The sequence below is a fragment of the Homo sapiens genome, chromosome 3 (assembly GCF_000001405.40).
Source record: "Homo sapiens chromosome 3, GRCh38.p14 Primary Assembly".
Classification (NCBI taxonomy): domain Eukaryota; kingdom Metazoa; phylum Chordata; class Mammalia; order Primates; family Hominidae; genus Homo; species Homo sapiens.
The window spans coordinates 58411141-58438959 of NC_000003.12; the positions used below are offsets into that span (position 1 = coordinate 58411141).

The window sequence follows — 27819 nt, forward strand, 5'->3', positions numbered from 1 at the left end:
TTCTCAGTGAAGTCAGGGAGGAGAATGTCTGCCTGGGGCGGGAGGAGAAAAGTGTACAAGATGATTAGGCTGCAGCCCAGAGGGCTGCATGAGCCACAGCTGGAGAATGCAAGTGGCATGACCAGAGCTGGAGATTGGCAGCCCTGAATAGAGAAAGCCCATAAACTCCAGAAGGAGAGTGAGAGTCACATTGACACCACTGCAGAGTCCAGACTGGAGAAGGGCTCAGGAAGAGCTGCAAAGGAGAGGAAGGAGGGGTGGTCCCAATGAGGACCAGCGCAGGCTCCTTGGGGGTGAATGCTGTTGTGGCTGGTGGGTAGTTTCAGTTGGAAGCCTATCTTCGCCATGGTTGATGGGAGGGACATGGACCGGTCATGGTCATTATTATACTGAGACTCATGATTCCAACCAGCAGTCATTCTGTCCAGTAGCTAATTTTTTATAGAGCAGAGAAAGCCTGACAGTGTGCTCTCTACCTTCTAAGACCCTGCCTGCCTGCAAAGCTGTGTCACATGAAGCCAGGTAGGACTCAAGGACTTCAGGATACCCCAGTGCCCTCAGGAGTTTAGGAAAATGAAGTAGCAGTTGATGGATATATACAGATAATTCCCAAACTTTACTGGAGTCAAGCAGTGAAGCTTCTCCCCATTAAAGTTCATTAGCACTACGAACAGTATAAAGACAGCATGCATTGAGTTTTACCTCCTTTTTCAGTAAAACACCCTCATATTTTATAGGGAACTGAGGGAATATTGCAAGTAGAAAAGCATTAAACTGGAGGGAGGTGTGGTTTAATCAGGACATTTCTCATCATGGCCAGTGTCCATGAGACACCAACATGTCCTGTGGGTAGTGAGGGAAGTGATGGCTGGGGCCTTAACCACACCAGCTCTGGTGGCTTCTCAGGCGTGTGATGGCAGCCCTCTGGGTGTGTGTGCCCATCAGCCCAGAAAGCACCTGACTAGGGAGATTTGGTTAACCTCTCCATAGGATCTCTATGTGTGGGAGGGGGGTTTCTGTGTCCACAGAAAGGCTTACGTAGGAACCTCTGCTCATTGGGCTACTTCATGTCAGCTCAGGAAGATATTTTCTAGGGATCGCCAAGTAATGGGGAGATGCTGAGAACTTGGGAATATTTGAAATATAATAAGGTTACTAGATCCAGAAAAAGCATGCAACAGGTGGGATTCACATTGTTTTAATGTGAATAAGGACATTTACTTATTCTAGATAAGAAAAGGGCTGTGAAATCCATAAACTGAATAGACTGACCCTATCTAGTTGATTCTACCTGCTGATAAAATGGAACTTCGGCAGAATGCGTTACTGGGTGGATGCTGTACGGGGCACTCCCTTCCTTTGGAAGCCCCCAGCAGGCTGCTCTGCACCTCTCTGTCTGCTGTACCACTTGTGGCTTCTGTCATTTGTCATTACCCAGGAGTGGAGGTTGCGTCAGGAAGAGATACTGCAGCCAATTGCCTAAGCTGTTGATGGTGCAAAGTTTCAAACCAGGCAGGCCATGGGGAGCAGTGGGAGGCAAGGAGCTTTTAGTGGCTTGGGGAAGGAGGTGGACCCTGCACCAGAGTAAAAGCCTGTCACTGGGTCCGGTCTCTGAGTTTTTTGTCCCTCATCATCTTGTTTCACAAGGCTCACACACTAAGCCAAATGTAGATTCTCAGACAGCAGTGGGTCCCAGCCTGGGCCAAATTCCAAATGTCTTTCGTTGGTCCCCATGAGGGTTTCTCTGTGTTTTATCTTAGCAGGATCTGGGGCCAGCTCACCTCTCACGTCCCCGTCATCGCCAACTCCACCCTCTACATCAGGTTAGTGATGGAGTAAAGTGACATGCCACCTTCCTGTCCGCCAACAGGAGGAGCGGGCTGTGCCTCTTCCTGCCTTGGCCCAACAATTTCAGGGGTTAGATAGCAGCAGCTTTCTCAAGAGAAATCAGTGGGAGTGCAAATTAGCAGTGTCATTTGGGAGAGCTGAGGGGCTAGATTTCCAAGCTCGGCTTTCACAGGGAATGGACCGGTTTCAGGGCCACTAGCCACCCCCGGGCTCCAGCTTGCTGTCTTTGCTGAAAAGCTTCATGCAGAGCTTCTCAGATTGGAGCCTGTCTTGGTACATGCTTAGCTGAACAACACAAATGCGCCGTGGCCCAGGGGTCCCGTCCTGCCAGGCCTCTCTCCTCAGGGAGCCCGTCCATAGGGTCAGTTTTGTCACAGAGCACAACTGGTAAGATGCCTAGGTGGAGGAGTGAAAGAGTCACTGCGTTTCTGATTTTCTGGCAACGATTTGACTCTGTTTTGCTCTGTAATGTATTTAATTATCTGAATATTTTTCTGTTATTAGCCTTTGCTTCACTTTTGTAAATTAGATACTAGTTTTGATTGAAAAATGTAAAAAGAATTTATCTTGGAGACTGCTTATAAAAATAATCCCCAATTTTGTTGAGTAGCCCCATAATACTATCTTTTATTTTTGAACCAAGATGTCTCTCCTAAAGTCTTTTGCAAGCCCAATAAAAACAATTGGGACACCAGTATCTCCTTTTGCTTCTTAAATGAACCAGTTGTTCCAGATGTGCGAGGAGCTGCTTCTGCCACTCAGAGCTTGCTGGCTGTGCCTGGAAGGGTTCCTACAAGCTGTGTGAAGGGAGAATCATTGGCAGGGAGTTGGTATATGAGTTGATCCCATATTCATTATTAATAACTAACACAGCACCCAGGAGCTGCCAAGAGCATTCTTCAGCTCCACTCAAATGCTTCTAACTGACCCTCCTAAGAAAATGAGAGCAAGGGGACTAGTGTGAATGACTTACTTCTGGCTGAGGGTGGCTACTGGTGCCTTACTGCTGAATGTTCTAGGGCCTGTTTTGGGTAGCAAAGTACCTGGTCCATGGGAGGATATTCTTGTCCTTATCTTTGTCAGCAGATTTCCCAAGAAAGCCCCCAAATGTTGATCAAGACAGAAAATAGGCCTTTTTTGTCTTTTATGGAGATACACTGTTTAGGCTGATCAGAAATGTCTGGTGATCTACTGCCCGGACTATATTAAGCCATTTTCTAGAAGATAGGATATTAATTTAACACCACTTGGGCATATTAAGAAAATTGGAGAAAATTAGTAGTGAGAATCCAGAAATCCTCCTTTAACAAGCAAGGCACTTGAGGCGTCTGTTTAAGGGTTCACAGCCCCTGTCTGTGTGGTTAGATCTGCCCCTGCTCACTTGACTGCCGGTTCTTATCTCTAAATGCCTTTGGGAATTTACAATTTATTTGGACTTTTGGGGGGAATTCTCTAATTTATCTGTGTTTAAATGGGTGCTGTCTCATACAGTAGTAAGTTTGCGTGAGATAAGGTAACTTTTAGAATGAGAGAAAAAAAGAGGAATCTTGTATAATTAGAGTCAATGTTGGGAAAACTTGGAGGTGAGTGGGAGGGGCATTCCTGTGAATTTGATAGCACCCAGCCTGAAGGGGAGTCTTGAGGATTTAGAAGGAAAGCACATGTGAGGCCCCAGCACAATGCCTGGCAGAGTGAGAGTGCCTGGCAGAGATGAGAGGTTCCCAGCAAATATTGGCTCCTCCTTTCTTTTATCTCCTTAATGTTTTGTTGATGAAATTGACTCAGCCTGCAATCTGACCTCTGCTGGGCATTTCCTGTAATGCATCTCATGAAAATGGTAACTAATATTTAGCATTTGCCTGGCAACCTAGCATTTCAGGCCCTAAGCATTTCAACCCAAGGGAGTTTATTCATTTAAGAATAAACATTCAAGGTGCATTTACTGAGAACCTATGGTTTGCTAAGGACTGTGCTTGGCCCTGGGTTACAGAAATGGCTAGACAAGGCCCTAGCTCTCATGGAGTCACATTTCCAGTGCCTCTCAGAAGCTCCAAAATGATAGACACTGTTTAGGAAAAACTCACACTCAAAAGTATTTTTCCCTATTCTGTCACTCAACACAATAATAATCAACACAGACAGACTTCTGTGACCAAATGTCAGGGTGTGGGGGAGTGGTTCTGTCCACCACCAAGTAAGCAATCAGTTTTGCTATGGACACCAGCTGGGTGTCCTCCAATTCAATTCTGACACTATCTACCTGGAGATAGCGTCAGACCCCACAGGTTGGGGCTCAGTCCCCAAAACTACCTGCTCTTTCTGACACCATTTGCAAGGATGGGACTCCAGAACTTTTGACCGGCCAGCTTCAAGTAGGAGTTCCCACCGTTAATTTGCTGGAGCAGCTCACAGAATTCAGGGAAACATGTTTACTGGTTTATTATAAAGGATGTTACAAAGGATACAGATGAAAAGATGCATAGGGCAAGGTGTGGGGGAAGGAGCTTCCATGCCTTCCCTGGGCACATCACCCTTCAGGAACCTCCGCATGTTCAGCTATCAGGAAGCTCTCCAAACCCTGCCCTCTTGGGCCTTTTATGGAGACGTCATTGGATAGGCATGATTGACAACCATATAGAAATGTTGTTATAGAACCCAATTTTGGTCTGCTCACCCAGTGCAATAAAATCAGATACCCACACCAAGGCTGTTGCAGTGACAGAAAGGAAGGCATTTATTGCAGAGTGCTGTGCAAGGAGGACCAGGCAGCAAAATGCTCAAAAATCTGACCTTCCAGATGGCTTACAGGCAAGGATTTTTAACGGTGGGGTAAATTTCAGGAAAACAGAAGCTACAGGCAAAATTATAAATCAGTACACCGAGGTTGCACATTGGTTTAAGCTTAAAAGGGCGGGACATCTTGGGGGTAGGGGGTGCTCACAGGTAGATTCAGAGATCTGACTTGCAGTTGATCTTAGTTGCAGAAGCTCTAAGAATTTTGGGGTCAGTAGAAAAATGCTAACTTGCTAGGGGGAGTGACTTTCTCCAAGCCTCTCAAGAAGAAACTTAGAACAAAGGACGGTGGGATTGATAATAGGTACAGTTTAGTCTTCTTTTCCTCCTAATCTGGGATCTTTGTGGTGAGGGTCTTCAGTGGAGGCCTGAGCCTTTGAAAGACAACTCAGGGACATATGTTAAGATCTTATCTTTAGTTTCTATAGGGCAAGGGAACTTCTCTGGAGCTTTAACTTCCTTGGCTATTGTTCTTAAGCCACTTATTACCTTCTTGTTTACCAAGTTACTTAATTACTTCTAGGGCTAGCTGGATGCCTGGAATTTTTCTTAAAGGAACATTTGGATTTTCCCTTATTTCCATGCCTTGAGGTTTACAGGTCCCTAAAAGTTGGGGGCGGTCCCAGTTTCTATCTCATTGTGATTGGACAAAAAGGGTATGATCTAACCCCAGCAAGGCCTGTTTGTTCAGATTCTGCTTGGCCTCTCTGTACAGCTTTCCTTCTTCTAGGGTATGGGGCGTGTGTAGGAGATGCTTGGCAAATCTTTGATTTACATAGGCTTGCTCTGCCTTCAAGGCCTCTGCAGAGTGAGAGCAGGAGGACTCTGAGCCTAGGGATTACACCATTTTTGTTTTTGAGACAGAGTCTGGGTCTGTCACCCAGGCTGGAATACAGTCGTGAGATCTCGGCTCACTGCAACTTCCGCCTCCTGGGTTCAAGCGATTTTTATGCCTCAGCCTCCCAAGTAGCTGGGATTATAGGCACTCACCACCACGCTTGGCTAATATTTTTGTATTTTTGATAGAGATGGGGTTTCACTACGTTGGCCAGGCTGGTCTTGAACTCCTGACCTCAAAGTGATCCACCCGCCTCGGCCCCCAAAGTGCTGGGATTACAGGCTTGAGCCACTGTGCCCGGCCAGGATTGCAACTTTTGGCTGGCCAGCCCATGCTTAGGCTGTTCTTCCTTGCAGAACTGGAGGTCGGTCTTCTCCTGGGCTCAAGTGATCCTCCTGCCTCAGCCTTCTGAGAGGCTGGGACTATAGGCGTGCACCACCACATCCAGCTAATTTTTAAATTTTTTGTAGAGACAGGGGTCTCATCATGTTGCCCAGGTTGGTATCAAACTCCTGGGCACAAGCACTCCTCTCACCTCAGCCTCCAAATTGCTGGGATTATAGATGGGAGCCACAGCACCTGGCCTCACAGTTCTTTCTAATCAAGCACACTCTAAATCCTAAATCCACTGTGAACTCTGGCCTTTGGCAGTTTGCTCAGCAATAGATCAGCAGCAATAGATGAGCTTAGGTAAGTTGAATTCAGCAGCAGTGCCTTTCTTTCCGAAAGCATCGGTTGTAAGCACATTTATGGCAGCTAAAGGTGGTTTTAATCTCAGTTTCTAAGTGAAGGGGTCTTACCCTTATGAGCCCTTTCTAGCAACTATGTAAGGGTTGGGGCCCCTCCCTTTTCTTACTGTAGCTTCTTCTCTGGGGGCTCCTTCTTGAGGTCCTTACCAAGCTGATGGGAGAAATATCCTTTCTTTAAGTCTGCTGGCAGTTCCATTGGGTGGGGTGGGATTCTCTAATACTCTTTTGCTGAGACCCCTGTTTTTTCAGTAAGAACATTCCTAGCACTGTCTTTTCTGCAAAAGGTTGTTTTCTGCCTCAGGAAGGTCACTTTTTCCAGGACTTTAAAATTCTTTATCCTGGTTTATTTCATGGTAGTATCACCAACTAGTATTTATACTCTATTCATAGAACTGATTGGTTTTAAAGGTCCCAATTTACACACACACAAATATTCCCTCCCACCCTCCTTTGGGATTAGACAGGCCTGTTGCCTTGCTATCTGTTTTTTTGAGACAGGGTCTCTCTCTGTCACCTTGGCTGGAATGCAGTGGTGCAATCACGGCTCACTGCAGCCTTAACCTCCCACCTCAGCCTCCTGAGTGGGACTACAGGTGTGCACCACCACCCTTGGCTAATTTTTATATTTTTTTGTAGAGACGGGTTTTGCCATGTTGCCCAGTCTAGTCTTGAGCTCTGGGGCTCAAGTGATCTGCCCGCCTTAGCCTCCCATAACAGTGGGATTACAGGCATGAGCCACCCACACCCAGCCCTTTTTTTAAAAAATGGGTTTGTAAGAGTATTTTGGGAAAGCTGAGTAAGCAGAGGACCCTAAATTGTTATTTAAAATAATTATATGTAATATATTTGAAGCACTTATTTTGTGCCAGGCACTGTTGCTTTATGGTCACTTGTTTCAGTTAATCATCGTGAATACCTTCTTATCCAGTGTGAGTGGACTCCAGCTTAGGTCCATTTTACAGTTGAAACTGACACTCTAGTAGGATTAAGAGACTTTGACCGAGGTCACACAAGTTAGGGCGGTGCTAGAGCCAGGAGTGTAACTTGTTCTGTATTTGTTCATTTACCCCATTGATGTATTGAGTGCCTGCTTTCTTCAGGGTGCGCTGCAGGGCCCGTGCTCTTAAATACTGTTGTTGGCTGGTGTGAAAAGAACCCTGAATGTTGAGTCAGTAAACCAGGGCTTGAGTCCTAGCTCTGCCACATTCCCGCTATGACCTTGGACAAATAATTTCTGTTCTTTGAGGCTTTTAAAAGACGTCTCGCTCTTTATTAGATAGATGGCATACATGGCGAGGCTTTATAAGCGGTAAAGCACTATCAGGTATAAACTACGAATGTCTTGCAATCAGATAATTCTAGCTGTTCTTGCTTGTAGTTTATGTTTTAACCAATAATTTTGAGGTGAGAGAGCTGGCAGTTTGTAGAAAACCCAGTTTGCAAGAATGAGTGGAGAGAAAGGGAAGTTTCAAATCTGCAGAGGAAGAGGTGTGGGAGCCCGCCCTCTGAAGGTCTGCTTAAAATTCAACTCGCAAAACAGATGAATAAGAGAAAAGGCATACAAGTTTATTTAATAAGAGAAAAGGCATACAAGTTTATTTAATATGTATACACAGGAGCCTTCAGAATGAAGACCCAAAGGTACAGGGAAAATTGTCCATTTTTATGCTTAGGTTCAACAAAGTATGGACAGCTGTGTGGAAATATGATTGGAAGAAAAGGCTATGATCTAATGCTAATAGGCTGAGTGGGGAAACCCAGCAAGTCTGTCTGTCTAGATTCTTCTCAGCCTCTCTGAGCAGCATTCCTTCCTTCTGGGTATGGGCAGGACTCTCTCTGGAATGGGGGTCTTACAACCTATAGTCAGACAAGGTAGGTCAGGTGATTTCTTTTCTTTTTTGAGATGGAGTTTCACTCTTGTTGCCCTGGCTGGAGTGCAATGGCTCGATCTTGGCTCACTGCAGCCTCTGCCTCCTGGGTTCAAGTAATTCTCCTGCCTCAGCCTCCCAGGTAGCTGGGATTACAGGCGCCCACCACCATGCCCAGCTACTTTTTTGTAGTTTTAGTAGACACAGGGTTTCGCCATGTTGGCCAGGCTGGTCTCGAACTTCTGGCCTCAGGTGATCCGCCCGCCTTGGCCTCCCAAAGTGCTGGGATTACAGGCGTGAGCCACCACACCCAGCCAAGTTATTTCTTTATGGACAGTTTTTACACAGAAAGGTGGAGGGAGAGTAATATTTTTAGGTATGATGGCTTGCTTTGGGGAAAAGGGGTTCTGTTTCTGTGACCCACCTTGGAGAAGGAGGGATTCAAGTTTCTCTGGCTAGCCTTGGGGAACAATGGTACTGAGAAGGCTGGAGGGCCTCTTTTCCGTTTCCCAGCCCCTTTCCAGGAAAAGGCTGTGGGGCAGAGTTGGTTCATTAGGAACTCTGAGATTTACCAAAGCATGATCCTTCACATTTAGCTGGGGATCTAGTCAGTTTAAAAGAAGACAAGAAAAACATTTGCCTTGCTTTCCTTTTTAAAACGGCTTTATGGCCTTAAGTAAGTTTCACTGCCCAATTCAGCCTCTAGGGAGGGGCTCACAGGGCCTCAGGGAGGGGCCCAGTGCTTCCGCCTTGAGGATGCTTGCCCAGGATCTCTGGCCTTAGGCCTGCTCACACTCCTCCCAACTTTAAAGAGACAAATCTATTGTAGACTCTAGAAGACTTGCTTGGAAAAAAGTTATGGGTTTTCATTTTTCTCCCATCTTGATCAACTGTCCTTGTTTAATAATAGAACTAAGCACACTCCTCATATCCATTCTGCTCTTCAGAGGTAAAACCTTCATGGCTTTTCTGAAGTGAGCGTCATGCTTGTAAATAAATAAAAATAGTATCTAACTGGCTCAGAGGACAAAGAACATGAAGAAAGTGACTCATTAGGTGGCTCAAAAAGCGACTCATTGGTTATTCTATAAATACGTTTGCCATGTTTTAAAAGGCTCACAATCGTGTTTACAAACCAGTGCTGTGGTTAATTTGAGTATATCCTAGTTTCGAAGTGAGAATAATCAGCTTGTGATTCAGACTAATATTTTACTGTCTGTTACTATTTGATTAAATGACACTAAAATCTGAATAATGACTTGTGTCCCCCCTTTCTCTCTCTCTCTTTGCTGTTTTCAGTAGAGCATGCACCATTTTGAACGTGAATTTTCGGTAAAGTAAACTATGCTGATTTCTCAGACTTTAAAGATGCTCTGTTTCTGTGTGTGAAATAGGACCCAAAGTGTCTCGATTGCTGAAGTGATGAACAAGTGGGAAAGCAGATTTGAGACTATTTCCTTATCTGAATATTTAAATGAAATACAGCATCTTTAAAAAGCACCCAGTGACTTCATCTATATTCATTTCATTTTCATCATGACCTTCAAAATCTTCATTTTCACTCTGATTTCAGTTTTAAAATACAGCTCTAAAACCTGCAAATCAACTGCATGGCATTTTGGTATATTTTAATTTTGGAAACCATAACTCTCAAAGTCCCGTTGCTGCAAAAATGTTGATTCCTAGTTACTCTGATGAAGAGGAAAGAGTGTTAGGCACTTGAGCTCTTAGTTACAGGGAGACAACTTACTGGCTTTTATAACTGACGGTAGGGAAAAACAGTTCTTTTGTAAGCATCCTTTATAATTCTCGAGCTGTGACAGGAGTACAGCCTCCTCACCTGCCTGAAGCCAAAGGAGAAGGTGGTTCTCCCGAGAGCTGGGGGCTTGCCTGCTTCGGTTCTCTCCTGAGGGTGGCTGGTAAGTCTGGTGTTACCCTAGTGTGGTCTCATGGCCACTTGGCCTCCCTTCCTGTATGTGACCACAAAGGAGCTCAGAATTAGAGAGACTGTAGATTACCCACTGCTGGCTGCTAACATGGGCCTAAGAGTCGGTGGGGAAGGGAGCCAGGCGCAGTGGCTCACATCTATAATCTCAGCACTTTGGGAGGCTGAGGCGGGCGGATCACAAGGATCAGGAGTTCAAGACCAACCTGGCCAACATGGTGAAACCCCATCTGTACTAAAAATACAAAAATTAGGTGGGCATGGTACCACGCGCCTGTAATCCCAGCTACTCGGGAGGCTGAGGCAGAGAATCACTTGAACCCGGGAGGCGGAGCTTGCAGTGAGCCGAGATCGCGCCACTGCACTCCAGCCTGGGCAACAGAGCGAGACTCCATCTCAGAAAAAAAGGAACTGGAGGGAGGGACCCTCAGACATCCTGTCCACAAGGCTGTCAAGGGGGTTTCTGGCCTGGCATTCCTCCCTAGATCTGACCTACGCTCTCCCTGCAGCATTCTCTGCCCTCTGACAGGGCCTCTGCTGGACTGCCAGGTTCCCGTGTGGTTTGGTGGAGAAGATTTTGGGGTGGGTAGAGTAAGTAGTTGGCTCTCAGGGATTTTGTCTAAGAGAAAGTGAGATGGGAGAAATCGGGACTGACCTGGTCGTAACTGAAGGTAAGCTGTTTGCAGCATCCCCCTTCCTGGGTGCAAATTCAGGTATCATAAGTCTAACATGGAATCGGTCTGCTCTCATATGTGGCCTGGAGATAAGGGTATTGGAGGTCTCTTGGCAGGAAGGCCTCATTCACATCTGAGGGGTGGAGAGCGCGCAGGCAGCAGGCAGTTGTTCCCAGGTTTGTCACAGGCCAAATGGTAACTTTCATTTGGCCCTTGTTGCCCCTGCCCCCTCTTCCTCCATTGTTAGCCATGTGTTGTAGCTGAAGCCCCAACGGACCTTTCAGGAAGCTTGTGGACCATGGAAAGGGCCAAAAGGAAAAGCCAAAAACAATCAATGGGGCAGACTGAGTGAGACCGAGTCCCAGGTCTGTGTTCCTGCCTCCTCCAGTTTCCACCTTCTGACCCCTAGACCTCCTCTCCCCTCCAGAGTGTTCCAAACTGGCAAGCTGGGTCTGGCCTTCCTTGCCCTGGTTGTACATAAGAGCCACCATGGTTGTTGTAGGCCCAGTGAGGAAAAGTGGACTTGCTGGGACATCAAGCCCCACCGGACTGCTCCAGCCTGCTGAGGCCACATCAGGGAGATCCTGCTGCCTGTCCTTTCGTTCCATCTGCTTTACTGGAGCCCTGGAGCCCTTTGGACAGTGTATTTATTGACACCACCTACATTTTCAAAGAGACTCATTTAAAGTGACAGTGGAAAATCCATGTCCATTTACTTGGACAGTGGAAAATCCATGTACTGAACCCCACCCTCAACTCCCAAACTCTGCGGTGGTGCATTTGCACTTCTAATTTTGAGGGCCTGGTAATGACGCCAAAACCAAGGGTTGGTTCTCTGTGAGGCCAAGCAGTTTTGTTCTGTGCCAAGATGGCAGCCCCTACCCCTCAGCCCAGCCCTGAGGCCCGTCTCCAGCCCCCCAAAATCCTTGCCTGGAGGGCTAGTCAGTCTCTAGATGGCCAGTGCTGAGCCTTTAGTAGAACTCCCAAGTACCGCCGCAGCCGAGAGCCTGTCCTTAACTGCACAGTGATTCTTCTGCCGGGGGTCAAAGCACAAACCTGGGAGGCAGAAACCCTGGAGCTCCTTCTGTTACACTACGTGGCCCTGAATATCAAGTCCAGATTCCACTGCCCTTTTCTGGCTATTGGGTGGGAGGGTGCTGGGGAAGGGCACTGGCACCTACTTACCCCCAAGTGGGCAGAGCTCACTCCTTCGGGCCCACTTGGTGTTGCAGTCAAGAGACTCAGTTCCAAAAACCTTCAGCAGAGGTCTCCCCTCCTCCTGGTATTTCACTGGTTGCTCTCCAGAAGTCCTCTTCAGAGGAATGCTCATCACACATGCTTATTCTCCGTTTTCCCACTTCAACAGTTACTTCAGGTTTAAAGTCCTTTTTATCTCTGTAACCTGGTGACATAAAGCCAGGAACATTTTCCCACAATCCACCTTAGCATAAAACATAACAATTTCATTCATCAGTTGTTATTGTGTAGAACCAATGAACATGTTGGTCATTTGTCTGTATTTAGTCTTTATTTGTATTGCTATCTTTGAGCATTCCAAGATTGCAGAGCATGAGCGTGTGTATTTGTGTGATTCTTTAATTTCAGCTGCCTTAGGTTTGAGTAAAAGATGTAAAGAAAGGTAAGTGATTTTCTATTGTAAGACTTTAACCCATACCTGTCACACTTGGTGAAAAGGATGTACTTACCTGAGTATTGTGTTGGTGATTCTGAGCCAGTCGTCCATACAAACTTAAGTAGGGTAGCTTTACCTGTTACTTATCACAACTCAGTAGCAGTGTAGGGGAAACCACCTGGCAGAATGTCTCCCTGGAGTAGCCCTGGGAGGGACAGAGACAGCATCTGACAGAGTCTCAGAGAGCTGCAAGGTCACAGGAGACGAGGCAACTAACTGTGGCACAGGAACATTCTTTAAGGCAAGGCTTTTTCTGAACTCGGGTGTTTATTCTGTCCTGAGAGAACCATTCATTGATTCTAAAATATAAAATTCGAGTTGCAAATGTCCATGTGCCTGGAAGCTGAGGGAAGTTTTAGACACCTGCCCAGTTTCCCTCTCCTTGCCCACTGCGGTACAGCACGACATTCTAGTTTCTCCTGATGCTTCGTCAAAGACATTTAGTGCAGTTATGTCCTGTTCCTTGGTTGGGCCACAATGGAGAGAACAGTACTTGAGAAGGATTTCTCTGTAAGAATACCATGGCAGAGAGACCCCTCTGCCCCCTGCTTTGCATTGCTAACAGTTATTAGCATTTTATATTTCTTTAATGCAACCTAATAGGAAATTATTATTCGAGACAGACTCCTCTGGGAAATGCATAACCCAGGAGGCACTGATTCCTTGCTGAGAATCCTGAGTGGTCTGTCATTTTACATAAGATCACATCCTTCAAACATTGTGTATGTTGGAGCAGCGAAAGAACTGTTCACCCCTTATGAATAACTGACATTCAGGAAGCCCAACTCCATCATGCAGATGTCTATCTTTAATTGCTAGCTCAGAAGCAGACAGAGCTTCCTGGGACCTGGCTAAAGTAACTGATAGATGGAACTCTTCTTTGGGGACTATTACTTTGCAAATGGGGTCAGAGCCTCATCTATGCAGAGAATGTCACCATATGTGGTTTCATGTAATCTGTAATTATTTGTTCCAACAGCCTTTAACATGACTATTGTTTGAGAAACATGGCAACTTTTAATTCCCCTTTGATGCTTCTAGCTTTCTTTAGTATTTTAAGAACTCATACAGTACTAGGTATGTTGGTCCCTCTGAGAAAAACATGTGGACTCTCACCAGTCCGTTGTGCTCAGGACTGAGCAGCAGCGTGTGTGCAGGGCAGCTGTGGAGGTGAATACTGATTGTCCCCCTTTTCCTCCACAGGGATATCTGCATTACCTCCACCTCCTCCACCTCCACCACCACCAGCAGCTCCCTTGCCTCCTGCGAGCACCGAGGCACCTGCCCAGCTCTCGTCTCAGGCTGTGAATGGCATGAGCCGAGGGGCCTTGCTCAGCTCCATCCAGAATTTCCAAAAAGGAACTTTGAGGAAAGCCAAAACCTGTGATCACAGTGCTCCGAAGATCGGCTGAAGCTTCCTGTTTACACTTGGAGGGAAAAGTTCTTTTTTATTCCTACTCACCCCTACCCCCCAAACTACCCTCTTCCTGGGAAAGTAATTGCTGAGCCAGTACAGCCACAAACAGTACTATTTTGCAGATGCTCATGTAAGCAGCTTTTCGAGAGAAATAATTCTTTAAGCAGAATAAAGTTAGGCTGGCATTGCTCCCTTAAGATCTTGCTCCTTTATTAACCCTGTAAAGGAGTCTTGTTTATCCTCTAATGGCCAGGCTTTTGGGACAGCAGCATATTGAAATATTTTCACCAACTAAAGGAAATAGACAGAAAAACAATGACAATATTCAATCACAGCAGTAAATGGCCTTTGTGTTGCAATCCCTTCTACCCCATCAGACAGCTCCTAGAAACATTCCTCTTACAGTTCATTTCTCTAAAGCATTTTCTGATTCTTAGATAACTCCAATTTTTGCTACCTTTATCTTAGACATTAACACTATAGCCCAAAGCATAGTTACTTTGCTAAATCAGAAAGCAACTGAGTTCTTTGTTTTCTCCTCAAATAGAATGGGGAACGTTCACAACATTCTCTTAAGTTCTAACAGGAATACCATTGTGGTTATAGAACTCAGGGCTGCTAAAGCAACTACTCTAGACCCATAGTTCTTTTTAGTTAGATGTATTGAAACAGACAAAAATATTAACATCAGAAAAAGCTCTTGCCAATTAGAGGATCTTCTTAATCCTCAGCAATTAAGTTTGGGGTTTGAGGGGGGCAGGTCATTGTTACAACAGAAGTAAATTTGGCATCTATAGAAATCAATTATGATTTTTGAAAGATTTATCTAAATATATCAATATAGCATCTCTTTAATGTTAGTCATTTATTAGAAAGATCCTTTATCCTGATTTGCTTAAACCTTTCAATAAATTGCACTTTAAAGGATTATAAATAATCCATTTAAAAATTCAAGTACACACATCAGTGTTGGTTACTATGCAGAGAATGTCATTGTGTATAGTTTCATGTAATCTGTTATGTCAGCTGTATTTTTTATTAAAATCATGTCAAGAAAACGTGTTGTCTGTAGCTTGACAAGATATTTCAAATGAGAACTTTTTGTAGCGTCTGTTGTTAGCAAAGAATAGATTCACACAGTCTAAGGTTTCCTTCCTACCTATCCTGTCTCTTATTCTTTTGTGTCTCACTTTTCCTCTAAGAACTAAAAATCCTGCCTTGCTACTTAAATTAGGTACCACCTATATGCTTCTCTAACTAATTTAAACCCATCTTTTCCATCTCAGCTTCTGGAGGGCAGTATTTGACAGAATATCTGATCTTTGGAAATGGGAAAAACAACTGATATAAACTTTGCCATAATTTTAAAGAGAATGCTATTAGAATTAGGCATTTGGAGAGTCTGTGGAGAAGTTCCTGTTTCAAGTGTGATGCAACCTAGGTGATTACCTGATGGAGGCTTGTGAGGCCTGAGTCCTTCTGAAGTCAGTTTTGCTGACTATTCTGGATAGTTCAGATATATGAATACAAACAGGTAATGGTCTTGTACAGTATCAGCTTATTTTCCACATGGAACTAATTTCTTTTGTTGTTATTTTTAAGACAGGGTTTCGCTCTTTCACTCAGGCTGGAGTGCAGTGACCCAATCACAGCTCACTGCAGCCTTGACCTCCCAGGGCTCAAGCAATCCTCCTATAGGCACACCACCAGATACCTGGGTTTTTTGTTTTGTTTTTTTTGTTTTGTTTTTGTAGGCAGGGTTTTTGCAACGTTGCCCCAGGCTGGTCTCAAACTCCTGGGCTCAAGCAATCCCTGCCTCAGCCTCCCAAAGTGCTGGGATTATAGGCATGAGCTACTGTGGCCTGGCAGCACTAATTTCTTAATAAATAGAATTTCAAGTTTTCTACCCACATTGACTTTTTTTTTTTCTATCTATCTTTTCTTTGTAGAGATGGGGTTTTGCCATGTTCCCCAGGCTGGTCCTGAACTCCTACACTCAAGGGATCCACCCACCTCGGCCTCCCAAAGTGCTAGGATTACATGTCTGAGCCACCACACCCAGCCAATTCTTTTTTTTGAGACGGAGTCTTGCTCTGTTGTCCAGGCTGGAGTACAGTGGCGCCATCTCTGCTCACTGCAACCTCCGCCTCCTGGGTTCAAGCAATTATCCTGCCTCAGCCTCCCGAGCAGCTGGGTCTACAGGCGCATGCCACCATGCCCGGCTTTAGTAGACAGGGTTTCACCATGTTAGCCAGGATGGTCTTGATCTCCTGACATCATGTTCTGCCCGCCTTGGCCTCCCAAAGTACTGGGATTACAGGCATGAGCCACCACGCCCAGCCCAGCCAATTCTTTCAATATAAAAATACAATAGTCATGGCCAGGTGTGGTGGCTCATGCCTGTAATCCCAGCAGTTTGGGAGGGCCAAGGCAGGTGGATCACCTGAGGTCAGGTGTTCAAGACCAGCCTGGCCAACATGGTGAAACCCCACCTCTACTAAAAACACCAAAATTAGCCGGATGTGGTGGCTAATTTCCTACTGAGGCTGAGGCAGGAGAATCACTTGAACCTGGGAGGTGGAGGCTGCAGTGAGCCAAGATTGTGCCATCACACTCCAGCTTGGGGAACAGAGCCAAACATTGTCTCAAAAAAAAAAAAATTAGTCATGTTAGAAATTCCTTTATTCCTTATCAAAACAAACTAACAGTAAATGTATATTATATGCTTTAATTTTATACATATAAGTTATCTTGTTTGGATACATCTTTCATGAGGACTCTGCCACATCCATACTTTGTCCTTGTGGTGAGAGAGGATAAAATGTTATATAATTTGTTATTCAAAGAACATGGCAACCGTAACAGACAAAAGGAAGCATGGCATCTAGGGGAGGAGAGTGGAGAGTTTTCCATACACAAACACATTTAAACTTCCCTGTACAAAAATACCTGCTGTTGCTTTAGAAATCGTTTTCCGTTATGAATAGTCAGGTCTTGCAGTACAAATCCAGGTGCAGTGCCAGCAAGTATTTCAAATAAATTTCAACGACTTGATATTCAAGTCCAAACTAAATATTTAATGTTTTCTTTATTGCAAATATGATGTCTTTGACCTGAGGTATAGAGTTGTCCTCTAGAATCTTTGCATAAGGCATAGGGACATCAGCACCAGTGACACGAACAGCAGGAGCATCCAGGAAATTGAACGCAGGACCTAGGAGAAGGAAGGCTCAACTGAGAGAGTGCAAATGCCAGCTGGGCACTACCACCTTGGCACAGAGGTGTGGCTGACCAGGAAGAGAAAATGTAAGGAATGCTAATTATGGGGAACCGCTTTCTGGATTTGCTTTTAAAAATATCTGCCTGAAGAGAAATGCCAAACTTACAAGTTTAAAGTTGAAGTCGTTTGGCCACTCCTAGCTTTCAATCTCTTTATCCTGTACGTATTCAGGTACATGATGTTTACTATAGCTTGACTGTATTCTAGAACCAGTTTCTTTGAAATACCTTCCATGATCCTGGCACAGATTTCAGCTCCTACTCCAAACTGTGGCCAGCCTCCTTCCACAGTTACAAGATGATTTGTCTTCATGACACTGGCTTCTATGGTTTCCATGTCCATTGGTCTAATGGTACGCATATTTATCACCTAAACAGGTAATATAATCAAGTTTACAGAGCTATTGCAGCACAAATAGAGCCTTATCCCCATAATACCATTTCCTTTTTTGTTTCCTGTTAATCTTTGTATCTAGGAAAATCTAATCTGCCTATGAATACCTATTCATGAATGTACAAACTGTAAAAGGAAAAATTTTAATTAAAACAAAGATCTGTATGTCTACCACAAGCAGCTCTGTGCAGTTATAGGATTCATTTATCTTCCTTCACTTTTTTATTTCTTTTGGGATGGAGTTTTGCTCTTGTTGTCCAGGCTGGAGTGCAGTGGCGTGATCTCGGCTCACTGCCACCCCCGCCTTCCCAGTTCAAGCCATTTTCCTGCCTCAGCCTCTGGAGTAGCTGGGATTACAGGCATAGACCACCACGCCTAGCTAATTTTTGTATTTTTAGTAGAGATGGGGTTTCAACATGTTGGCCAGACTGGTCTTGAACTCCTGACCTCAGGTGATCCACCACGCCCAGCCAATCCTCCTTCACTTTAAATTCCCTCATCAAAATGAGTTAACAGTTAACAGCTGAGTGCCCATCATGTACCAAGCACTACACTAAGTGTAATTCTCACAACAGCCCTATGACGGGACAGTATTTATATTATCCCTGTTTTATAGCTGATGAAACAGATTTAGAGTATATAACTTGCCCAAGTATAACTAGCACATGGTGAGTTTCTAAAAGATCCAGAACCTCAGAAGGGTGAGGTGGGAGCATCACTTGGGCCCAGGAGTTCACGGTTACAGTGAGCCATGATCCAGCCACTGCACTTCAGCCTGGGCAACAGAACAAAAGCCTGTTTTTTTCTCTCTCGGGGGGTATCACTGAGAACCAGAAGAGGTTCAGAGAGCTCCCACTGTCTCTCAAAAAAAAAGATCCAGAACCTAAGTGACCTGAGTGGTAAAAAGCTAAGTATGTGAACTGCAGGCAGGTTCCCAGCTTTAAGCAGAGACAGAAATGAGTGACAAAGCAAGGTTTTACATCTAATTAACCTGTTACAGAACTCTTCTGGGTCTTAAATCTAAAAGGAGCCCTTCTAATTCTTTAAGAACAAGTAAATGTCCACTCACCTCACATTCAACTCCTTCTTTAGATAGCACTGCTGCAGCTTCTAAGCAGTGGCCCACAGGTCTTGAATGGGAAACCACAGTTATATGTGTTCCTGAAAACAGAGTGGTCACAGATCAGAGATCAGGTTGAAACTGAAGATGCTACACCACTGTGCCGCCAGCTGTGGCTCTTGTTCATTCATAAAGTCTTCAATTCAACTTCATTCCAGTGAGCTGAGGAATGTGGCAGCCTTCCTAGAAATGAAACACAAACCTACCAGACTGAGATCTAGAAAAGCACAACTGAATGAGAAATTGGGGCATCTTGAGCTCATCCTATAATTTTTCAGTCAAAGTAAATGACAGTAACTTCTAGATTAAATTTTACCAAAATTGAGGGGCTGGATTAAAAATACTGTTTATATATCTTAGTTTTCTTACCTTGCCTTTCTATTTTGGCTTTTCCAATAGGAATCAGAAAATCTTTTGACTGAGCTTCCGGAGGAAATTCAAAAGGAACCCCATACATCAATTCATTCTCTAGCACCACCACTGAAAAACATAAATATTTAAACAAAAGTAATTAATCACATCCAGAATGACTAAAACTGCATAGAAAGCAATATCATTCATCTTGTGAGAAGTTTCATTGTGCTGATTAGCCTTATCTCTACCATGACCAGCAGCCTTGAGAGCAGTTTAGGTACTTAAATTTGTAGTGGTCAATATAATTTTATCTATCAAACCAGTATTGTGGGTGTGCAGTAAATGTCCCCTTTACCTAGCTGGCCCCCTTATATTCGGAAATAGGAAAAGCAAGCACATTCTTTACTATCTTTACTATATAAAGTATTAACATTCTATACGATATATCTAAGCCTAACTAAAAGACTTTAATGGTTTCCTCTGTGCAAATATATCATTTTAGTTTTTCAATCTTCAAAAAAAACCAAAGGGTCCCTGTGCTGACCTGGATTGTTATCCCGAATGGCTGATTTAATAAGTCCTTTAGCATCCTCTGAATTCCAGGGACTGACCACCTTTAAGCCTGGGCAGTGCCCATACCAGGCAGCAAAGCACTGTGAGTGCTGGGCAGCTACACCTGCTGAGGCACCATTGGGCCCTCTGAAGACTATAGGCACAGGCTGAAGGCCACCAGACATGTAGTAGGTCTTGGCAGCTGAGTTTATAACCTGGTCAATGGCTTGCATGGAGAAATTGAAGGTCATAAATTCACAAATGGGCCGCAACCCAGCCTGTAAAATCAAAAACGTGGATGTTAAAAAGACTAGAAACAGCAACAAACAGTAGCAAACAAATCACTCCAAGTCTTCCAACATTCAAATAATGTTTTTATTTTTTATTTTTATTTTTTATGGACAGGGTCTCACTGTCACCCATGCTGGAGTGCAGTGGCACACATCATAGCTCACTGCAGCCTCTAACTCCTAGGCTCAAGTAATCCTTCCTCAGCATCCCGAGTAGCTGGGACTGCAGGCAAGCACCACCACATCTACCTACTTGGTATTTTTTTTTTTTCCCAAATGATGTTTTTAAAAGGTGATGTTAAATCTCTTTGGGGATGGGCACAGTGGCTCACGCCTGTAATCCCAGCACTTTGGGAGGCCAAGGCGGTCGGATCACTTGAGGCCAGGAGTTCAAGACCAGCCTGGCCAACATGGTAAAACCCCATCTCTACTAAAAACACAAAAATTGGCTAGGCACAGTGGCGCGACCTGTAACCCCAGCCACTATGGAGGCTGAGGCAGGAGAATTGCTTGAACCTGGAAGCTGAGATGGTGCCAGTGCACTCCAGGCTGGACAACAGAGTGAGACTCTGTCTCAAAAGAAAAAAAAAGAAAACAAGAAATGTCTTTGGATAAGTTTCATAAAGAGTATTACATACCATAGCTGCACCTACAGCAATTCCAGCAAAGCCCATCTATAAAGTAAAATATAAACATAAGTGAAAATCCATAAAAATGAGGATAATGGACACTAACAGACATGCCCTCCAGGGTCTGCTTCCCACTGGAAGGCTTACCTCTGATATGGGAGTGTCAATAATCCTCTTGTCTCCATATTTCTTCCACAGCCCTCGACTAACCTACAATTAAGAGTTGATCCCTTAAGTGTATCTGGGGGTAACAGTGACCTCAATTTTGTATAACTTTCATATATTTTAGTTACCTTGTATGCCCCATCATACTGGGCAACTTCTTCTCCAAGCAGAAATACCTTCTCATCTCTTTCCAGCTCCTCATCCATACCCTGATTTATAGCATCACGAACTGTCACCTGTCACAGGTATGCAAAAACAGTCAATACAGAATTGTTTGGGATTCAACTAAGATTTTCTTCCTTTATATTTACCTAGGCTGCCCACAGCATACAATATAAAAACACTAGAACAAGCTTCTCTCTAAAAACTCAAAGAATTCTAAAAGTAACATTTCTATTACACATAGTTGGTCTTTGCATGTGTTAATGTACTGAGTGCTCACTAGGTGCCAAGTACTGCCAAATACTTTGCATCCAGAATGTAGGAGTTGCTCTTTTAATATAATGAATGGTAAAATCTAGTTAAAAAAAGGAAGGAGAGGAGAATTAACATACAATCCATCAATTCCACTTCTATGTATATGCCCCAAATAATTGAAAGCAGGGATTCAAGCATATACTTGCACATCAATGTTCACAGCAGCATTACTCACAATAGACAAAACAAGGCCAGGCACGGTGGCTCACACCTGTAATTCCAGCACTCTGGGAGGCCAAGGCAGGTGGATCACTTGAGGTCAGGAGTTCGAGACCACCCTGGCCAACATGGTGAAACCCATTCTCTACTAAAAATACAAAAATTGGCCGGGTGTGGTGGCGGGTGCCTGTAATCCCAGCTACTCGGGAGGCTGAGGCAGAATTGCTTGAACCCAGGAGGCAGAGATTGCAGTGAGCTGAGATAGTGCCACTGCACTCTAGCCTGGGCAGCAAGAGCAAAACTCCGTCTCAAAAAAAAAAAAGAAAATGTCGGGCTGAGCGAGGTGGCTCATGCCTGTAATCCTAGCACTTTGGGAGGCCAAGGCAGGCAGATCACTTGAGGCCAGGAGTTCAAGACCAGCCTGGGCAATATGGTGAGACCCTGTCTGTACTAAAAATACAAAAATTAGCCCGGTGTGGTGGCACCGGCATCTAATCACAGCTACTCAGGAGTGTGAGGCGCGAGAATCCCTTGAGCCCAGGAGGTGGAGGTTGCAGTGAGCTGAGATCGCGCCACTGCACTCCAACCTGGGTGACAGAGGGAGACTATCTCAAAAAAATATACATATATATATTATTCAGCCTTAGGAAAGAATCAAACTCTGACGCATGCTACAACATGGATGAACCTTGAGGACATTACGCTGAGATAAGCCAGACACAAAAGGACAAATGATGCCACTTATAAGAAGTTCTAGAATAGGCAACCTCATAAAGACAGAAAAGTACAACAGGGGTTACCAGGGGTTTGGGGAAGGGAAATGAGGAGTTACCGAGTAATGGACAGTTTCTGCTTGGGATGATTAAAAAGTTCTGGAAATGGATGGTGGTTAATGGTTGTACAACATGGTGAATGTACTTAATGCCACTGAATTATACACTTCTAAAAAGTACATTTTAAGTTAGGTCTATTTTGCTGCAATTTAAAGAAAAAAACATGGAGTGAGGGAGGAAACGCCTAGTCTTAGTTTTCCCCCATTGCCCAGCCAGCTGTGAGGTGGTGACTCGCCGGTGTGCTAATTGCCAGGCGGCGACAGAGGCAGCAGGAGCTCCACGGAGGATGCTGGCTCCGCAAACCCAAGGCCCACGGCGCCGGAAGGCCACAGCGCAGGCGCGACTCCGGCCTCCTTCCCGAGAGAAGGGGGGACCCTCCCCGCCCTCGTCCGACGAGCACCCGCGCCTGTTACCTGCAGCGCAGCCGGCGCGGTCCAGTGAAAGCGCCTCTTCAGCAGCCCGGAGACCTGGCAGGGAGAGAGGAAGATGACGGCGGGACGCAGGGTGGGCAGGGGTCGCGTGGGAATACAGGCCGCGCGCTGCTGCCTACCTCCCGAAGGGGTCTCCGCACCAAGCCAGACACCGCCGCCATCTTGGTCGTGTCCTCTATCCGCTGCCAAACGACAACAGAGGGGCCGGCAGACGTGAGCAGGCCCCGCCTCCACCGGCGCGGGCCAATGGCAAGGCGCGCCGGCTGCGTGACCCGCCCACCCGCCCACCGGGTGAGGGGCCGCGGGGCCGGGCTGAGGTGGCGTGTGGGTGGCCGTGCCCCTCTGCCTGGAGCCGCCTCAAATCAACTTTATTGACAGTAGGCGGTGACCGACAGGCGGGGTGCACGCTGGGCACACGTGCCTGGTCGGTGTTACTTGAAGCGTGGGGACTAGAAGTCAGACCCTGAGGAGCATGATCTCTGGAAGCTGGAGAGACCTTAAGAGTTAGGCCAACCTGTTGTGGGTGCTGGAATCCTTTGGGCACCAAGAAGTGCTTGCACACGCTCTACTGATGGGGAACTTAACACTTCATGAGTGAGTCTAGTCTTCCCTGGACAGTGCTGTCTGTTGATTCCTTATAATGCACATCATAGCTTTCATTGATTGCATTAAGCACCTACTGTGAGCCAAGCATTGAGATATGTGCTGTATAGCTCATTCTCACAGTACCCCACTTGGGTAATTAGTGTTATTATTATCTCCATTTTGAAGACGGTTAAACTGAAGCAGAAATTGATTAAATGAGCCGATATTTTAATTTAGGACTGTCTTGACTCTAAAGCATGGTCTTTTTCCCACTGCTTCCTAAAGCAGAAGTGGATTCCTGCTTGGGGGAAGGTTACAACAACTTTAGAGAAGGGCGGCCCTATGGATGTAGCAGGACAAGCCGCAGACGAAACTCCTCAGACACCGAGTTAAAGAAGGAAGGGGTTTATTCGGCCAGGGGCATGGGCAAGACTCTTGTCTCAAGAGCCGAGCTCCCTGAATGGGCAATTCCTGTCCCTTTTAAGGGCTCACAGCTCTAAGGAGGTGTGCGTGAGAGGGTCATGATTGATTGAGCAAGCAGGGGGTATGTGACTAGGGGCTGCAAGCACCGGTAATTAGACTGGAACAGGATAGGGATTTTCACAGTGCTTTTCTATACAATGTCTGTAATCTATAGTTAACATAACCGATTAGGTCGGGGTCGATCTTTACCAGGCCCAGGGTGTGGCACCAGGCTGTCTGTTTGTGGATTTCATTTCTGCCTTTTAGTTTTTACTTTTTCTTTCTTTGGAGGCAGAAATTGGGCATAAGACAATATGAGGGGTGGTCTCCTCCCTTATGGGGAGGTGCCAAACACTTGGCCATAGGGACAACCTCTGGAAGCTCATTAGTCTTAATTTGGCCCTTGGGGGTCAGATGGGACAATTGAGCACCCAGTCTCCACCCATCCCCAAGACATTCCAAACATTCCCTTCTATGGATCACAGCTGCAGGCTGCCAAATTAGGAATTTGCAACTTCCAGTAGGTTGCTGACTGGGAATGGGAGGGGGTGGAGGCAAAGGCAGAACAGGCGGATGCTGGGAAGTCTGTGGCAGCAACAGAGGCAGACTAGGAGGCAACTTCCAGATGGAGAGGAGGGGGACAGTTTTGAGATCTATTTGGGCTAGAATCAATAGGAATGCTGTAAGTGCTAGGGAAGAGCAGAGGAAAATTTTGGATTTTTGTCATTGCTGGATGGATAGATGGGGTAAGGGAGGAGCCTGGGGCAGTGTAAGTGCCAGGAGCTGGGGAAGTAAGAGTGTATTTTTGTTTATTTTTTGAGATGGAGTTTCACTCTGTCACCCAGGCTGAAGTGCAGTGGGCCTCACTGCAACCTCTGCCTCCCAGGTTCAAGCTATTCCCCTGCTTCAGCCTCCCGAGTAGCTGGGATTACAGGCACCTGCCACCATGCCCGGCTAATTTTTTTTATTTTTAGTAGAGATGAGTTTTCACTATGTTGACCAGGCTGATGTTGAACTCTTGACCTCAAGTGATCCACCCGCCTCAGCCTCCCAAAGTGCTGGGATTACAGGCATGAGCCACTGCAGCCAGCCTTTATTCTTTAGATGACTGGGACATACCCAGGTTGCCTGGAGCCTAGGGCCTAGTCAGGGCTAAAGGTAGAAATTTGGGGACAGCTGCATAGAGATGACATTTACTCTCTGGGACTGTTTCATCTGTAAAATGGATAGAAGATCTTCAAGATATGGAATCAACACCTTCTGAGTCTCCCTCACCTGCCACCATCGTCTAGTCCCAACTGTCCCTGCCAGGGCCTCAGGAATGGCCAGCACTTCCTAGACTGCCACAGCATCCCTGAGAAACTCCTGAACTTGAGATTTCAGCCCCCAAAAGTTTGTGGGTGGTGCTCAGAATGAAAAAGTGAATCAGTCCTTCCCACCTTTCCCACAACCTAGCACCAAAAGATTTCAGGATCAGATTTGCCAAGCAAAAGGAGATGTTACAGGAAAGCAGTCCCGATCGAGATCCCAAGAGAGAGTTCTTGGATCTCACACAAGAAAGAATTCAGGGCAAGTCCACAGTGCAAAGCAAAAGCAAGTTTATTAAGAAAGTAAAGCAATAAAAGAATGGCTACTCTATAGACAGAGCAGCCCTGAGGGCTGCTGATTGCCCATTTTTATGATTATTTCTTGATTTTATACTAAACAAGGGGTGGATTATTCATGCCTCCCCTTTTTAGACCATATAGGGTAACTTCTTGACATTGCCGTGGCATTTATAAACTGTCATGGCGCTGGTGGGAGTGTAGCAGTGAGGATGACCAGAGGTCATGCTCATCGCCGTCTTGGTTTTGGTGGGTTTTGGCCAGCTTCTTTCCTGCAACCTGTTTTATCAGCAAGGTCTTTATGACCTGTATCTTGTGCTGACCTCCTATCTCATCCTGTGACTGAGAATGCCTAACTGTCTGGGAATGCAGCCCTGTAGGTCTCTGCCTCATTTTACCCAGCTCCTATTCAAGATGGAGTTGCTCTGGTTCACATTCCTCTGACATTTGCCTCCTCCCTATTATGAGAGAAACTTTAATCCTAAAAGTTTCGGAGGGATGAAGATGCATCTTCTGTAACTTCTTCAGGCTGAATAGGGGTGATGATATTCCTGCTTAACTATTAGGGTCCCTTATGTTCAGAGTAGAGAGGAGCTCAGAAAACATCAGTATAGTGAGGGCCATTCATAACTCCAAGTTCTGACAAAAGGTGATATCTGGAAGATTAATAAGTATTCAGTTTAAGAAAACATTCAGTAAGCTTATCCTGCACTCCTACACAAAGAGTACAATAGCAATATATTCCACAAGAGTAAAGCAAAATAAGTAAAATTATCCCAAGTAAACTAAATTAGAAGGCTTTCCATGAACTGGGCAACTGTTGGAACCAAGCTGATGTGGGGTTGCTAGCTGATTCCAGTGTGTTCAGAATTAGAATATCGATTCAGATTTTTACATTACCCATCTTCCATGCGCGTCCATGTGAAGAGACCACCAAATAGGCTTTATGTGAGCAATAAAGCTTTTTAATCACCTGGGTGCAGGCGGGCTGAGTCCAAAAAGAGAGTCAGCGAAGGAAGATAGCGGTGGGGCCGTTTTATAGGATTTGGGTAGGTAGTGGAAAATTACAGTCAAAGGGGTTTGTTCTCTGGCTGGCAGAAGTGGGGGGTCACAAGGTGCTCAGTCGGGGAGCTCCTGAGCCAGGACGAGCCAGGAGAAGGAATTTCACAAGGTAATGTCACCAGTTAAGGCAGGAACCGGCCATTTTCAGTTCTTTTGTGATTCTTCACTTGCTTCAGGCCATCTGAATGAATACGTGCAGGCTTGGGCTCAGAGACCTGACACCATCACTCTTGTTTGTTTTGAGCAGCAGTCAGAGATCACTGGTTGGTTCACAGGAATAAGCTGGGTTAGCCTAAATTGCAGAAACAAACTTAAAAACAACTGATGAGACTAGAATCTAATAACCAGTGTACCATAAGTTCTTGAAACATTATATTTCTCTCTCCAGTTTCCCATTTTTACTAAAGGCAAATCTTGGTAAGACTGATTTGCTTTGTTATACTTGGCCTGATTATTTATATAAAGTGTAGCAAGAATAATTATTTTTCACATAAGCTCTTTTTATTATTTATTTATTGAGATGGAGTCTCACTCTGTCACCCAGGCTGGAGTGCAGTGGTACGATCTTGGCTTACTACAACCTCTGCCTCCTGGGCTCAAGCGATTCATCTGCCTCAGCCTCCCAAGTAGCTGGGATTACAGGTGCCCACCACCGTGCCCTGCTAATATTTTTGTATTTTTAATAGAGACAGGATTTCACCTTGTTGGCCAGGCTGGTCTCGAACTCCTGACCTCAAGTGATCTGCCCACCTTGGCCTCCCGAAGTGCTGGTATTACAGGTGTGAGCCACCACAGCCAGCCACATAAGCTCTTTTTAAATTGGCTTTCCTGGAACTCTGTTCCAAAGAAGGAATCTTAGATAAGACTTTTTGCCATGGGTTTGTACCCTCAAATACGTATGAGTTGGGTAAATTCCTCTCTTCTTGAGGTTCCAAGATAACTTGGAGTTCCTGGGTCTGTTAGAAAGTGACATTCTTTACTTACCACAGGTCAGAAATCCTGTACAAGGACTGTGTAGGCAAGGTATGAGGCCAGTTCCCCAAGGGGCTTCTATTGGCTCTATAAGTTAAGTTTAATTCCTTAAAAGAAAACATGCCATTCCAGTCAAAGCCTTGATAAAATAACCAGTTTCTCCAATTGTGTCCTGTTGCAAAAGAAAACAGATACTTATTTGCACTTATGCAAATAACTATATTGCATAAATTAGGAATACTCAATTAGTTTGACCATAGGTAAGATTTTCATAAACCTTTTATTAACCCTTTACTTTTTTTGTGAAAGAGCAGATTAGTGTTCTAAGAAAAACCTGTTGTACTTTTAGTCCAATGCTTAATTTATGGAAAAACTGAATAATACCCCTTTAACTTTAGCCAATATGTTCACACAAAGAATTTCTTTTTACAAGATTCATTTTTTATAAACTTTTCATAACTTGCTCAAACCTTTAGCTTTATCCTGTTTAACTTAAAACAATCCTTTAACCCTTTAGACAAGAAAATCCACATTCCCGTGACTTCTTATAATCTTTTACTAAAAACACATTTCGCTTTCCCTACACGCCTTACGTGTAGAAGAACTGTTTCTTTAGTAGTCTCAAA

General features: G+C 45.0%; 2 protein-coding genes and 1 long non-coding RNA gene across 65 annotated transcripts in view, besides 4 other annotated features; 2 read left to right on the top strand and 1 right to left on the bottom strand.

The window, feature by feature from the left end:
* Positions 1–14987, top strand: part of PXK (PX domain containing serine/threonine kinase like) — a 93236-nt gene extending 78249 nt beyond the window's left edge. For 9 of the 60 annotated variants that reach the window (NM_001349489.2, NM_017771.5, NM_001349491.2 and 6 more), the window contains 2 exons: positions 1761–1823; positions 13612–14987. In NM_001349489.2, the coding sequence (NP_001336418.1) occupies positions 1761–1823; positions 13612–13820 (272 nt within the window). In that variant the 3' untranslated portion in view covers positions 13821–14987. Of the gene's footprint in view, positions 1–484; positions 523–1760; positions 1824–9395; positions 9429–12320; positions 12355–13611 lie in introns of all 60 variants that reach the window. The other 51 variants (NM_001349531.2, NM_001349507.2, NM_001349512.2 and 48 more) reach the window with 16 other exon arrangements.
* PDHB (pyruvate dehydrogenase E1 subunit beta) lies at positions 16490–22692 on the bottom strand. 4 transcript variants are annotated; one of them, NM_001173468.2, is made up of 11 exons: positions 22628–22692; positions 22491–22544; positions 20737–20844; positions 20591–20653; positions 20453–20488; positions 19703–19802; positions 19517–19648; positions 18988–19098; positions 18568–18659; positions 17333–17474; positions 16490–17039 (listed from the first exon to the last, which is right to left on the bottom strand). In NM_001173468.2, the coding sequence occupies exons 1-11, from the start codon at positions 22667–22669 to the stop codon at positions 16894–16896; spliced, it is 1026 nt and encodes a 341-aa protein (NP_001166939.1). In that variant the 5' UTR covers positions 22670–22692; the 3' UTR covers positions 16490–16893. The 4 variants fall into 4 exon arrangements, 3 of the variants coding, with proteins under 3 accessions (NP_001166939.1, NP_000916.2, NP_001302465.1); NM_000925.4 differs by having other exon boundaries at positions 19517–19802; NR_033384.2 differs by having other exon boundaries at positions 19517–19802; positions 22491–22692.
* Positions 18386–18465: an enhancer, noted in NCBI's record as "active region_20011". NCBI's record gives its function as "activates an Ori minimal core promoter by ATAC-STARR-seq in GM12878 lymphoblastoid cells {active_cell/tissue: GM12878}" and the evidence as "EXISTENCE:reporter gene assay evidence [ECO:0000049][PMID:35858748]".
* Positions 22448–22667: an enhancer, noted in NCBI's record as "active region_20012". NCBI's record gives its function as "activates an Ori minimal core promoter by ATAC-STARR-seq in GM12878 lymphoblastoid cells {active_cell/tissue: GM12878}" and the evidence as "EXISTENCE:reporter gene assay evidence [ECO:0000049][PMID:35858748]".
* Positions 22455–27819, top strand: part of LOC107986092 (uncharacterized) — a 51164-nt gene continuing 45799 nt past the window's right edge. Inside the window, exon 1 of the long non-coding RNA XR_007095933.1 lies at positions 22455–23102. This is a non-coding gene — a long non-coding RNA (uncharacterized LOC107986092). The remainder of the gene's footprint in view (positions 23103–27819) is intronic.
* Positions 22728–22967: a silencer, noted in NCBI's record as "silent region_14489". NCBI's record gives its function as "represses an Ori minimal core promoter by ATAC-STARR-seq in GM12878 lymphoblastoid cells {active_cell/tissue: GM12878}" and the evidence as "EXISTENCE:reporter gene assay evidence [ECO:0000049][PMID:35858748]".
* Positions 23710–24319: an enhancer, noted in NCBI's record as "OCT4-NANOG-H3K27ac-H3K4me1 hESC enhancer chr3:58420577-58421186 (GRCh37/hg19 assembly coordinates)". NCBI's record gives its function as "activates a minimal SCP1, AML or CMV promoter by ChIP-STARR-seq in primed H9 embryonic stem cells {active_cell/tissue: H9 hESC(primed)}" and the evidence as "EXISTENCE:reporter gene assay evidence [ECO:0000049][PMID:30033119]".

Coding starts and splice junctions, on each gene's coding strand:
- PDHB (NM_000925.4), bottom strand. CDS start 22,669: ATGGCGGCGGTGTCTGGCTTGGTGCGGAGACCCCTTCGGGAG. Junction 18,660..18,987: donor AGCCAAAATAGAAAGGCAAG/GTAAGAAAACTA, acceptor CTCTGTTTTCAG/GAACACATATAACTGTGGTT. Junction 17,040..17,332: donor CTGTGCCAGGATCATGGAAG/GTATTTCAAAGA, acceptor TCCTTCTCCTAG/GTCCTGCGTTCAATTTCCTG.